The sequence below is a fragment of the Homo sapiens genome, chromosome 11 (assembly GCF_000001405.40).
Source record: "Homo sapiens chromosome 11, GRCh38.p14 Primary Assembly".
Taxonomy (NCBI): Eukaryota; Metazoa; Chordata; class Mammalia; order Primates; family Hominidae; genus Homo; species Homo sapiens.
Window position 1 is genome coordinate 91,799,573 of NC_000011.10, and position 13,018 is coordinate 91,812,590.

Below are 13,018 nucleotides of genomic sequence, written 5' to 3' on the forward strand. Positions count from 1 at the left end.
ATGGATGGCAGCAGGCAAAGAGAGAGCTTGTGCAGGGCAACTCCTGTTTTTAAAACCATTAAGATCTCATAAGACCCATTCACTATCACGAGAATAGTACAAGAAAGACCCACCCCCATAATTCAATCATCTCCCACCAGGTCCCTCACACAACAAGTGGGAATTATGAGAGCTACAAGGTGAGATTTGGGTGAGGACACAGAGCTAAACTGTGTCAGTGAGCCTTCTGGGGGCCCACACCTTGGGATTCCCGAAGCCAGAGCTTAATAATATAGACCTCCCACCCTTTGCCAGTAACAGATGGCTGCCCCATATGACAAAAAGCAGCAGCAGGGCCAGGCCAGCCCAGGAGCCATGGGCCAGAGTGGGATGGTGAGACTGAAAGAGCTGCAACACAGATGGGTTGAAACATGCCCCTCCATACATGGTCCCTGCCCGCCCCACCCCACCCCCTCTCCCCGGCTGGCCAGGCTGCAGACAACAAGAAGAACAAGAAGGAGAGAAGAGCTGTGGCCCTGCTGGGAACCCAGATCTAGAGGATCCCTGAGCCAGGGTTGTAACATGTTGTAACTTGTAACATCCTCTTTGGGGCTCTGCAGTTCCTGGCATCTCCAAACTTTCAGGCATCACTGTGTTTCCCTCATCCAGATGCTGGTGCCTGCAGTGGAGGCTGCTTGAAATACATCTGGTCCAGTCACAGCCTTGATTGGGGCCAGTGCCTGTGCCAGCACCTGGAGCTGCCTGCCCCACCACAGCAGCCAGCGTGCCTGGCTGTGCACAGAGGCCAGACCTGTGCTCACTCACTCACACGCCCCTCACCACTCTGTGCCTGGCTCACCCTTGGCAGGCATGGGATCTCGGCCAGTAGCACGAGCCAAGCACAGCCTGCTGGGCCAAGTGGGTAAAACGAGCCCAGTGGGTGCGAGCAAGACTCAAGCAGAGGCACCACCAGCCGCCGAGGCACCACCAGCCACAGAGGTTTCTGGCTGGTGAAGCAACACCTGAAGAATCCTATGGCATTTTCCTGACTTTGAAATTTACCCACTTAGTCAAGAAAATATGAAGCTATTCATTCCCTTTACTTGTCTAGCAGAATATTTCCACATAGAAGATTTTAGTCTTTGTCATCAAGACTGCGTAACATTTAACACTCCACCACATCAAAATGCTACTTACACATACATAATAAACACTCAGAGAGGAATGCTGCCTCAGACATCATCTTTTCTTCACTCTGTCTAAAGCATGAATGTCCTTAGATGTTCATTCAAAATTAGTGCCAGGGAGTGCTATTTGGCAAGGCCACTTAGAATATAGTAATTAATTAGAATGCATTTATTAAATTAAGCTGAAACTATCCTCTCTAACTTTCACTGATGATTCATATATAAGCCACGTGGACTCAAATAAATTCTCATCCTTTCTACTTTAGAACTGCTTTTGAAGTGCTTTTAGATATATTTGGACCTCCTAAATATTCCTTTTTCCTTTCTTTTGGCTGGATATTTTTTAAAAAATTAAGCCCCCTCCTCAAATTCTAGAACATCCAACTTTTAATTTCCTGCCTTGCATTTGATATCTTACAGTAATGTGAATAGATGAGTAAGGGTAATATCAACTGTAACAAATGGATTCAAAAAATATATAATGTCTTAAATACAATAGAAGTTTATTTATCACTCATGTTATTGGTGGGCAGCTCGTTTTGACTTGGTGTTATGGACAGCTAGGAGGTTCACATCCCTTGGCTCTCTGATCCCCCAAGGTTTCATTATTATTGTTTGCATCCAACAGATAAAAGGAGACAGAAGAGTGTGGAAAAGAAATATTACTTAAAAACTCTTTTCTAGATACTCATCACTTATGTTTACACTCTAAGACAAAAAAAGAAAAAAAAAGAATCAATCACATGGTTATCTCTGAATGCAAGGAGGCCACGGAGGACAACCCTGGGAAAGATGGTCTCCTCTTTGGTTGTCACTTCCCTGGAACAACCTTACATTATCACTAAAGGGGAGAGAAAATTGTGTGTGTGACAGTAACCTTATCTGCCATAGTGTGAGGGTAGATCAGATTTAGCAACCAAGTAGCAAAGTGCCAGAAGCCTCAGGTTAACAAGAATTTCTCCTTTATAGGTCGTCTTCTCTCTAAGCCCTAGCTGTGCCACCCTCTCCATTATTCTCACCCTCTCCCGTGACTTTCTACTCTGATCAATTAAAAGACTCACCCAATATTTTGTGTGACCCTATGAAAGGAAAAAAAAAACACTGCTGATTATTCTGACACCGTTCTTTCAGAGCACAGTGACTGTATGATATATCCCAATATCTGAAGTTTTAAAATTGGGGAAAAAAAGCATCTTAGAATCACAATGTATGGTATCTGCTGTCTTATACAAACACATACATGCGCACACTGCAATGCATAGCTTGTTCTATTTTCTTTCTCCTATTTCAGAACTTCCAGGTATTACTCCTTTAATCTAATATACCTAAAGCTCACAGGAGATTGTTTTAACAATCTGGGAATCTCTCAATCACAGGACACTTATCTATCATGCCCCTTGTAACATGTTGTTACAAAGAGTGTAGCTCAAAACCTTGCTTTTTGAGTTTTCTGAATCAGTCTGAAAATCATACTCCTTGTAACACAGTATGAAACATACTCCTTGTATCTCAGTCTGAAAATGATACTCCTTGTTACAAGTCAGCAGAGACATGAAGGACAGGAGAGGCAATGGAGTCTCCAAGGCTCTAGCCACACCCAGCATACACTGAGGGAGACAAAACAAAAACAAAAACAAACAAAAAAACACACAAAGAAACGATTTTCTTTGTATTACCCACAGTTCTCAACTTTATTGATATGGATTGAAACTTAAAACTAGAAAATCTTCTCCTCTTTTTTGTAAAGAGAAGAGAGATGAGTACAATTAAATTCCCGGACTTTTCCTCTCACCAAGTCACCATTTCACTGTCCAGCCACACCAACAGTTCAGCGCTTTCTTGGCAGTAGAGGCCAAAAGCTTCCAAATAGACTCTGAAAGTGGCTACGCAGCCATGACAAGTGACGAGAACCCCTTGTTTCTGACAGGAAAACAACTCAGGAGCTGCTTGCCACTTTCACTGGGGCCTTTTGGAAAGCCTGACTTCGATGGGCCCTAGGGGTGCATTGTTGAGGGGGGAGATGAGAGAGCTCAAGAGGCTTGTGGAACGTGAGCCATGGCTTTTGAAATTACTTCTTCCTGTGGGCTGATTTTGCAGTTTGATTTTACTTTTAAGAGAGGAAATATAGAGCCAGTCTCTAACACTTTAACTCATTTGCCAGAAGAAAATCATATCAGAAAGCAACAGAGTTACCCCAAAGGCCCTGGAGTGGGTGGGGGGTGGGAGAATCAGAGGCAATGGGGGAGGGAGAAGAGAAGGAGAAGAAAAGAGGGGACTGTGGAACTGCAGCCCAAGAAAAACCTATAAACCTTTAATCCCTTATGCACTGCAAAGTGATTAAACTCACCTACCTCACACCTGCCTTAGAAAGAATGCAGATATATGGAAGAAGAGAATATTTGCAAACTGCACTTTGGACCCATGAAAAGTTCATTTGGAATTCAGAAGGCTGATCCCACTTAGGGTGTGAAATATACACGGGTTCTGGCTGCAAAATTGGAGGGGAAAGGTATGAGCCATTATGAACCAGAAACCTGTCTTGTGTTTCTCCAGAGAAAGTGGACTATGAACAATCGAAAGAAAGTGGTGGATGGTTTCTGGAAGGACAAGTCTGCACCAGAGAATAAAAGGGCATTCCTTAGGGTTGCTGAGGATTTTCTTTGATTGTATTCTGCTAATGTGTGTGCAAGGCAGATATAACACATTTGTGGAAGGCTCTAGAGACATTTTCTACAAATTTTACCCTGGTTTCAGGTAGTTTTCTTCTCCCCTCATTTTAATGTCATTATTATAAATTGGACTTAAAAAGTTGACATAAGAGTTGTTTGTGTCTTTTATAGAACTTTTTATACAATACCGAGTTAGGTGAATTCACTACATTTGTTTCTTTTTTGTGTATAATACATTCATTTTATTCTCTAACAATTTCAATATGTGTTTCCAAAAAATTTGGAAATGCCACTCAGTATAATCTTATCACTCTTCTTTTACTTTTTAAACTTTTAAAACTATTTTTCAAGTGATAGGGTAGTTAATATAATTGTTCCAATAGATAATTAGTCACAGAGTACAATAAGCATCTGGAAACTCAATACATCAGTGACAAAAGAATATGATGAAGGAAAACTAAACAACTGCCTGGCCAATATAAGTATGCAGTAAAATTAGGATTCTTAAATGGTTTTGTGCAAGAATAACAATCCAAAGACTTTGCATTTCTATAGTGTCATTATCATCATCATCATTAAGATTTTTATTATTGAGTCTGACCTTATGAAAAGACAAAGAAAATAATCTACTATCTGGGAGTAATTTGTTCCCCCATATGATGTGAATTAACTTTTCCTGGAGAACAGGGTTCTGTTCCAAGCTCTGAGAAGAGATAATCTCTGGGGAGCTCATGCTAATGTGAATGCAGCAGCAGAGGCTGCAGCCAGGAAGCAGAAGATTGTGAGGCCATTCTTTAACCAAAAGGAATCTGTCTCCTGCAGCTCACAGAAGCTCCCCGCTCCCCCTCTGACTTAGTGCACATTCCCAAAGTATTGCAATCTGTCTGGGCCTCCTGATGAGCTAGATTACTCCAATACATCCTGCAGAGATTGCAGAAAGTCTAGTTTTCCCAGGAGTGACACAGCAGAAACAGGAGGGACTTGATATTCTACCTATGTTTCTGACATGTTACCTGATCACACAGCAGGGGAGAGGGAAAGAGTGGTTTCTTTTTTTTTTTTTTTTTCCAGCCAGTCTTTCATTTTCCTTAGTTTCCCTAGGGACTTTCATGACCCTTGATGCCCACTATTTGCTTTATATATGCAAACCAAGTCAACACAAATCATATCACAACCCTATCTCTGGCACAAATGCCATCAATTCATGACTGAGAGAATCTAAAGTTCAAGAGCAGAGGATTTATATCAAACCAACACCCTCACTTATTAGCAATGTCACCTTGGGCAAATCGGGTAACAGCCTTAGTGATACAATGTAAATGCCCAATAAATGGTAGCTTTTAATATTATCTAATGCTGTATTAAGGAATAATATGTATGTTCTTTTTAATGTTTTTATTTTTTATTGATACATAATAGATGTACATATTTGGGGTCGCATGTGATAATGTAATACATTCACATAATTAATAAAGATTAAATCAGTGTAATTGGGATATCCATCACCTTAAATATGTGTCTTTTCTTTATGCTAGAAACATTTGCCAGCTATTCTGAAATATACAATAGATTATCCTAAACTGTAGTCAGCCTACTATCTATCAAACACTAGGTCTTAATTTCTTCTATCAAACTGTATATTGTACTCATTAATCAACTTCTCTTCATCCTCCCTTCTCTACCCTTCCTGGCCTCCGATTACCATCATTCTAATCACTATCTTCATGAGATCCACCTTTTTCAGCTCCCACAAATGATTGAAACCATGTGATATTCATCTGTCTGTGTTTGGCTTATTTCACTTAACGTAATGACCCCTAGTTCTACTTAGACTGAGTCCATATTTTGGCTATTGTAAATTCAGTGCTGCAATAAACATGAGAGTGCACATATCTTTTCTGTATATTGATTTCCTTTCTTTTGGATATATAACCAGCAGCAGAATTGCTGGATCATATGGTAGTTATGTTTTCACTTTTTTGGAGAAGCTCCATACACTTTTCCATAGTGGCTATACTAAGTTACATTCCCACCAACAGTGTAGGAGAGTTCCCCTTTCTCCACATCCTCACCAGCATCTGTTATGCCTGTTTTGTTGATAAAAGCCATTTTATCTGGGGTGAGGTATTTCACTGTGGTTTTAATTTGCATTTTCCTGATAGTGATGTTTCATAGACCAGTTGGCCATGTGTATGTATTCTTTTAAGAAATACCTACTCACGTATCTACTCAGATATTTTCTATATTTTCTCCATTTTAAAATCAGATTCTTTTTTTTTTTTTTGCTATTGTGCTGTTTGAATTCCTTATATATGCTGGTTATTAGTCCCTAGTCAGATAGATAGTTTGCAAATATTTTCTCCCAGTCTGTGTGTTGCCTCTTCACTTTGTTGATTGTTTTCTTCTCTGTGTAGAAGCTTTTTGGCATGTTGTAATCCCATTTGTCATTTTTGCTTCAGTTGCCTGTGCTTTTGAGGTCTTACCCACACACACACACAAAATTTGCCTAGACCAATGTCCTAGAGTGTCCCCTAAAGTTTTCTTCTAGTAGTTTCAAAATCTCAGGTATTAGATTAAAGTTGTTAACATATTGTGATTTGATTTTTGTATATGATGAAAAATAGGAGTCTAGTTTCATTCTTCTGCATATGGTTATCTAGTTTCCTCAGTACCATTTATTGAAGACACTGTCCTTTTCCCACTGTATGTTCCTGGAAACTGTCAAAAATGAGTTGGCTCTAAATACACAGATTTATATCTGGGTTCCCTATGTGTCTGTTTTTATCCCAGTATTATGCTGATTTAAGTTTCTACAGCTTTACAGTATGCTTTGAAGTCAGATAGTGTGATGCCTTTTGCTTTGTTCTTTTTACTCTAGATTACTTTAGCTATTTGAGGTCTTTTGTGGTTCCATATAAATTTTAGAATTTTTCTTTATTTCTATGAAGAACATTATTGGTATTTTGATAAGTATTGCATTGACTCTATAAATTGCTTTAGGTAGAATTGTCATTTTAACAATATTGATTCTTTCAATTCATGAACATGAAATATCTTTCCAGCTTTTAGTATCCTCTTCAATTTCTTTCATCAGTGTCTTATAGTTTTCCTTGTATAAATCTTTAATTTCTTGGGTCAGATTGATTGCTAAGTATTTTATGTTCTTTGTAGATATTGTAACTGGGATTGCTTTCTTGATTTCATTTTCAGATTGTTGTGTATATATAAATGCTACTAATTTTTGTACGCTGATTTTTAATCCTGGACATTTACTGAATTTGTTTGTTGGTTCTATTTGATGGAATCTTTAGGTTTTCAAAGTATAAGGTCATGTTGTCTGTCAACAAGCTTAATTTGACTTCTTTCTTTCCAATTTGCATTTTTCTTTTTCTTTTTTTTTTTTTTTTTTGAGATGCAGTTTTGCTCTTGTTGCCCAGGCTGGAGTGCAATAATGTGATCTCAGCTCACCGCAACCTCCGCCTCAAAGGTTCAAGTGATTCTCCTACCTCAGCCTCCCAAGTAGCTGGGATTATAGGCATACACCACCACACCTGGCTAATTTTGTACTTGTAATAGAGGCAGGGTTTCACCATGTTGGTTAGGCTGGTCTCAAACTTCTGACCTCAAGTGATCCACCCACGTCGGCCTCCCAAAGTGCTGGGATTACAGGCGTGAGTCACCGTGCCCAGCCGCATTTTCTTTGTTTATTTCTCTTTACTAATTACTTAGGCCAGGACTTCCAGTATTATGTGGAACAAAAGTAGCAAAATTGGCTTTCCTTGTTTTGTTCCAGATCTTAGGAGAAAGGTATTAAATTTTTCCCCAGTTAGTACAACGTTAGCTATGAGTTTGTCATATATGGTCTTTATTATGTTGAAGTCAGTTCCTTTCACACCCAGTTTGATAAAAGAATGTTATCACAAAAGGCTGTTGAATTTTATCATCAAATGTTCTTTCAGCATCTATTGAAATTATATGTCTTTTGTTCTTGGTTCTGTTAATGTAATGTATCACATTTATTGATTTACATATGTTGAATCATTTTTGCATCCCGGGGATGAATCTCAATCAATCACGGTGAATAATTTCTTTAATGTGTTGTTGAATTCAGTTTGCTAGCATTTTATTGGAGATTTTTGCATCTGTGTTCATCAGTGATATTTACTTGTAGTTTGTTATTGTTGCTGTTCTGCTCTTGTCTGGTTTTGGAACTACAGTAATGCCTGACTTGTAGAATAAGTTTGGAAGTATTCCTTCCTCTTCAGTTTTTCTCAAGAGTTTAATTAGGACTAATACTAGCTTTTCTTTAAATGTTTGGTAGAATTCAGTAGTGAAACCATCAGGTCCTAGGCTTTACTTTGGTGGGAGACTTTTTATTATGGCTTCAATTTTATTACTTATTATTGGTTTGCTAAGATTTTCTATTTCTCAAGGTTCCATCTTGGTAGGCTGTATGTGTCCAGGAATTTATCTATTTATTCTAGATTTTCAAATTTGTTGGCATTTGTTTATGTTAATGATGATGTCTAATGATTCTTTGTATTTCTGTGATCTCAGTTGTTTCATTTCTATTTTCATTTCTAATTTTACTTATTTGGTTCTTCTTTTTTTTTTTTTTTTGTTAGTCTAGCTAAAGGTTTGCTGATTTTGTTTCTTTTTTCAAAAAGCCAAATTTTTGTTTTGTTCATCTTCCGTATTGTTTTTCTAGTCTCAATTTCATTTGTTTCTGCTTTGTTCTTCATTATTTCCTTCCTTCTACTAATTTTTTTTTCCTCCAAGAGGTACAACCTTAAGTTGTTTATTTGAAGTCTTTCTACTTTTTTGATATAGCTGTTTATTTCTATAAACATCCCTCTTAATAGTGCTTTTGCTGGGCCCTTAGATTTGATATGTTGTTTTGCCATTTTTATTTGTTTCAAGAAATTGATTGATTTCCTTTATAATTTCTTCATTGACCACTTGGTCATTTAGGAGCATGTTGTTTACGTTTCCCATGTTTGTGTATTTTTTGAGGTTCCTCTTGTTATTGATTTCTAATTTTATTCCATTGGGGTCAGAAAAGATACTTTATATGATTTCTACTCTTTCAAATTTCTTGAGACTTGTTCTGTGGCCTAAGATGTGGTCTGTTCTGGAGAATGTTCCAATTGCTGATGAAAAGAGTGTGTATTCTGCAGCAGTTGGAGGCAACATTCTATAAATGTCAGTTAGGACTATTTGGTCTACTAAGTAATTAACAACAATATTTCTTTGTTGGTTTTCTGTCTGGATGATCTGTCCATTACCGCACATGAGGAGTTAAAGTCCCCTACCATTATTGTATTTCAGTCTATCTCTCTCTTTAGATCTATTAAAGTTTGCTTTATGTACTTGAGGGCATTGATGTTGGGTGCATAGATATTTATAATTGTTACATCCTTTTGCTGAATTGACCTATTTTTCATTGTATAGTAACCTTGTCCCTTCTTACAGTGTTCGATTTGTAGTCTATTTTATCTGATATAAGTAGAGCTACTCCTGCTCATTTTTGGTTTCCAGTTGCATGGAATATCTTTTTTAACTCTTTCACTTTCAGTCTCTATGTGTCCTTATAGGTAAAGTTGGTTTCCTATAGACTTTTTAATTGGAGAATTCAGTCCATTTACATTCCTTGTTACTGATGAGTAGAGATTTACTACTGCCATTTTGTTGTTTGTTTTCTGGTTGTTTGTAATCTTTTCTTTCTTCTTTCCTTTGACACTGCCTTCCTTTGTGGTTAAGCAATTTTCTCTGGTAGCACACTAGAATTCGGCACTTTTTATTTTTAAGTAATCTATTATAGGTTTTTTTTCACTGTGGTTATCATGAGGTTTACAAAACACATCTTATGGATATAATAAGTTATTTTTAAAAGGTGACAACTTAGATCATAAAGAAAAGAATAGACACAAAGTAAACATTAAAAAAATACTTCTATAATTTAACTCCATCACCCCCAAGCAAACAAACATTTTGACTTTATTTTGTCTTCATGTATATATTTCTATATTACCTATTTCTTAACAGGTTGCTGTAAGTTTTATTACTTTGATACATTTGTCTTTTGGGCTTCATACTAGAGTTATGAGTGGATTGCACATCACAATTATGGTACTATATCTTTTTGTATCTGCTCATGTACTTAATTTTACTAGTGTAGGTTTTGTACTTTCAAATGTTTTATTTTGGCACGTTAGTAATTTTTCTTTTAGATTTAAGAACTCCCTTTGACATTTCTTATAAGGCAAGTATGGTGGTAGTGAACTCTCTCAGGTTTTGTCTGGAAAAATCTTTCTCTCACCTTATTGGATACACTATTCTTAGATGCCAGGTTTTTTCTTTGAGCACTTTGAAATGTTGTTTCACTCCCTCCCAGCCTCTGTATTTTCTGTTGAGAAGGCTGTTGCCTGATCATTGGAGCTCCTTTATATGTTATTTGCTTCTTTTGTTTTGGTGCTGCTGCTTTTAGAATCCTCTCTTTGTCCTTGTCCTTTGAGAATTTGCTTGTTATATGTCTTGGGGTTGTCCTATTTGTTTTGAATCTGTTTGGTGTTCTCTGACATTCTGGTACCTGGATATTTGTCTCTTTCTCAAATTTTAGAATGTTTTATGTTATTATTTCTTTGAATAAGCTTTCTACCACTTGCTCCTGCTTAACTCCCTCTTGAACACCAAGATTCTTAGATTTGGTCTTTGAAGTAATTCTCTATCTTGCATGCAACCTTCATTACTTTTTACTCTTTTTTCTTTTCTGAATGTTTATGTTCAAGTAGCCTATCTTCAAGCTCACAGATTATTTCCTCTGCTTGATTCATCCTGCTGTTGATGTCCTCTAACAAATTTTAAAGTTCAGCAAGTGCATTTCTCAGTTCCAATATTTGTTTGATTTTTTAAATTATTGTAATATCTTTGTTAAGTTTTTCTGATAAATTTCTGAATTTTTTTTTGTAATTTTGAAGATCACTGAATTTTCTAAAACTGTTAATTTTAACTCTTGGTCAGAGAGTCCACATATTGCTGTCTCATTTGAGCTAGTTACTGGTTCCCTGCGTTGTTCATTTGAGAACGTCATGGTTCCCTGTTTGTTGTTGATTTTTGGGGATCCATATCTGTTTCTTTGTATTAAAGGATTAGTTATTTGTTCTAGTTTTCTCTAACTGGCTTGTTTTACTTTTTATTGAATATCATTGCCTAGGAATTCTTTGTAATTTACCTATTCTTTTCTCTTTTTATCTGCTAGGTTGCTGCCTCCTTTTGAGTACTAGATGGCCCTGGCATCTTAAACCCACATTGGCCTCAGTTTTAGTAAACAGAGTGCTGCCCATCCTAAATGGGAGAGGTCCCAAAGGGAAAATCTTGATAGTGTGGGAAGGCTGGCCAGTGGTTTCTGTCCATAGTAACTGTGGATAAAATCTCTTATAGTATGGTGCTGCCGAAGAGCCACTCTGATTTGGCTATGGCCTAGTTACAGGGCAGAAGTTCCAGGGCTCTGGGTGATACATCCACCTCCCACTTTGTCTGTGGCTATGCTCAAGGATATTTCACCCTTTAGTCGCTCTCAATGCTTCCTTTGGGTTGAAGCAGGGACTGGTCCCCTGACAGGGAATTCTAGACAGTAGGAAGCTGCTTGTCCACCTCAATCTCACTTTTTCCGGTGTAGAAACCATGAGTCAGAGGGAAGAGTCCTGTGCATTTTGTGCCAGACATACTGGAAGAAGGGCCACCACAAATATGAAATTACAATTATCTTACCATCTGCTCAGAGTTGCTTCACTTCTCTGTGGCCCTAGAAACTATCTCATTCCCATATTTGACTTCTGGGATATTGCTGGTGATAATCTCGGGCACTGTATATTTGTTTTTCATTCTCTTCGGGGGTGGGGATGAAGCCAACTTGCTTCTACACTGCCATTTTAGAACCAGAAGTCTGAAGGGTAAGGTCTTTAGCTCTGGCAAATTGTCATATTGAGTAAAATTTTTCCATTGCATGAGATATTATAAGTTAGGCATGTGGAAAGGGCTCATTGTTTTATCAAGAGTCTTTTTTTGCGTTAACTAAAACCAACTGGATTTAGGTTCAGCAAAAGAAAAATAAGGTAGAGTAGAGGAGTGTGATATATAGGTATCAGTATTTCTTAGAATCAAAGTAGCTGAATCTCTAGAGCACCAGTGTCTAATAGAAGTCTAATAGGAAACACATTAATAAGGTTAGATTTCCTAGTAGCCATTTTAAAAAAGTAAAAGGGAATAAAGTTAAATTGATTTTAACCCAATATATCCAAAATATTGTCATTTCAACATGGAATAAATATAAAATATTGATGAAATTTTAAAACTATTTTTTGCACCAAGTTTCTGAAATCTAATGTATATTTTACACGTACAGACAACTTAATTTGGACTAGCCACATTGCAGGGACTTAGTAGCCACAGGTGACTACCATGTTGGAAAGCAGCTCTAGAGATTCCTGAAACCAAAAACTAGACAGCTGTCTGTAATCAGGTAGTAGTTTCTCTGCTTGATTCTCTTCTGTTCTCTACTCATATTCTTATTCCTTTGCAGAACAACTTTCTCTGATCTCTGTGGACATGCTTAAAATGGCTGACTCACACAGCAAGACTATTTAACTGTGCCTAAAATCAACCCACATTCAGATGCTAACTGTAATCCTATTCCCTGATCCATCAGGAAAAAGAGTCTGATTGACATAACTTGTCAAGTGTTCGCCCCAGCTTCTATCAACTATGGGGAAGGAAGGGCCAGAAGAGGTGTAACCATCATGGCTACCAGGTTTCGAAATATTTACATTACATACTGCATTTATTAAAATACAAATTAAATCTGCAATAAAAAACTAATTGACCATTCTCTGGGATTCCGTCTATGGGTAATATTTTCTGCAGAAAATGTTAACCTCTCCCTTAATGGTAATGGTTAAGCTAAGTTGGTGCTTGATCTTTATTTTGATTTTTTGTTTGTTGATTTGAGCTGTGAACATTGGACAGTCCATGAAATTAATATACTGAATCAGGGATCAGCAAATGTTTTTTTAAAGGCCAGGCAGTAAATATTTTCAGCTGTATGAACCAAGAAACACAATTGAGGATATTGCATAGATATAGTGTAACCATTTTAAAATCTTAAAACCATTCCCAGCTTACAAG

General features: G+C 37.4%; 1 long non-coding RNA gene across 8 annotated transcripts in view; it reads left to right on the top strand.

The window, feature by feature from the left end:
- The window catches only part of LINC02756 (long intergenic non-protein coding RNA 2756), a 78,165-nt gene that overhangs the window by 5,251 nt on the left and 59,896 nt on the right, over positions 1 to 13,018 (top strand). Inside the window, exons 4-5 of one of the 8 annotated variants that reach the window (NR_187313.1) lie at positions 3,720 to 3,920; positions 12,543 to 12,729. The exons of 5 other annotated variants lie outside the window; for them this stretch is intronic. This is a non-coding gene — a long non-coding RNA (long intergenic non-protein coding RNA 2756). Of the gene's footprint in view, positions 1 to 648; positions 1,205 to 3,719; positions 3,921 to 12,416; positions 12,730 to 13,018 lie in introns of those variants that run through there. 2 more of the 8 variants (NR_187314.1, NR_187315.1) reach the window with 2 other exon arrangements.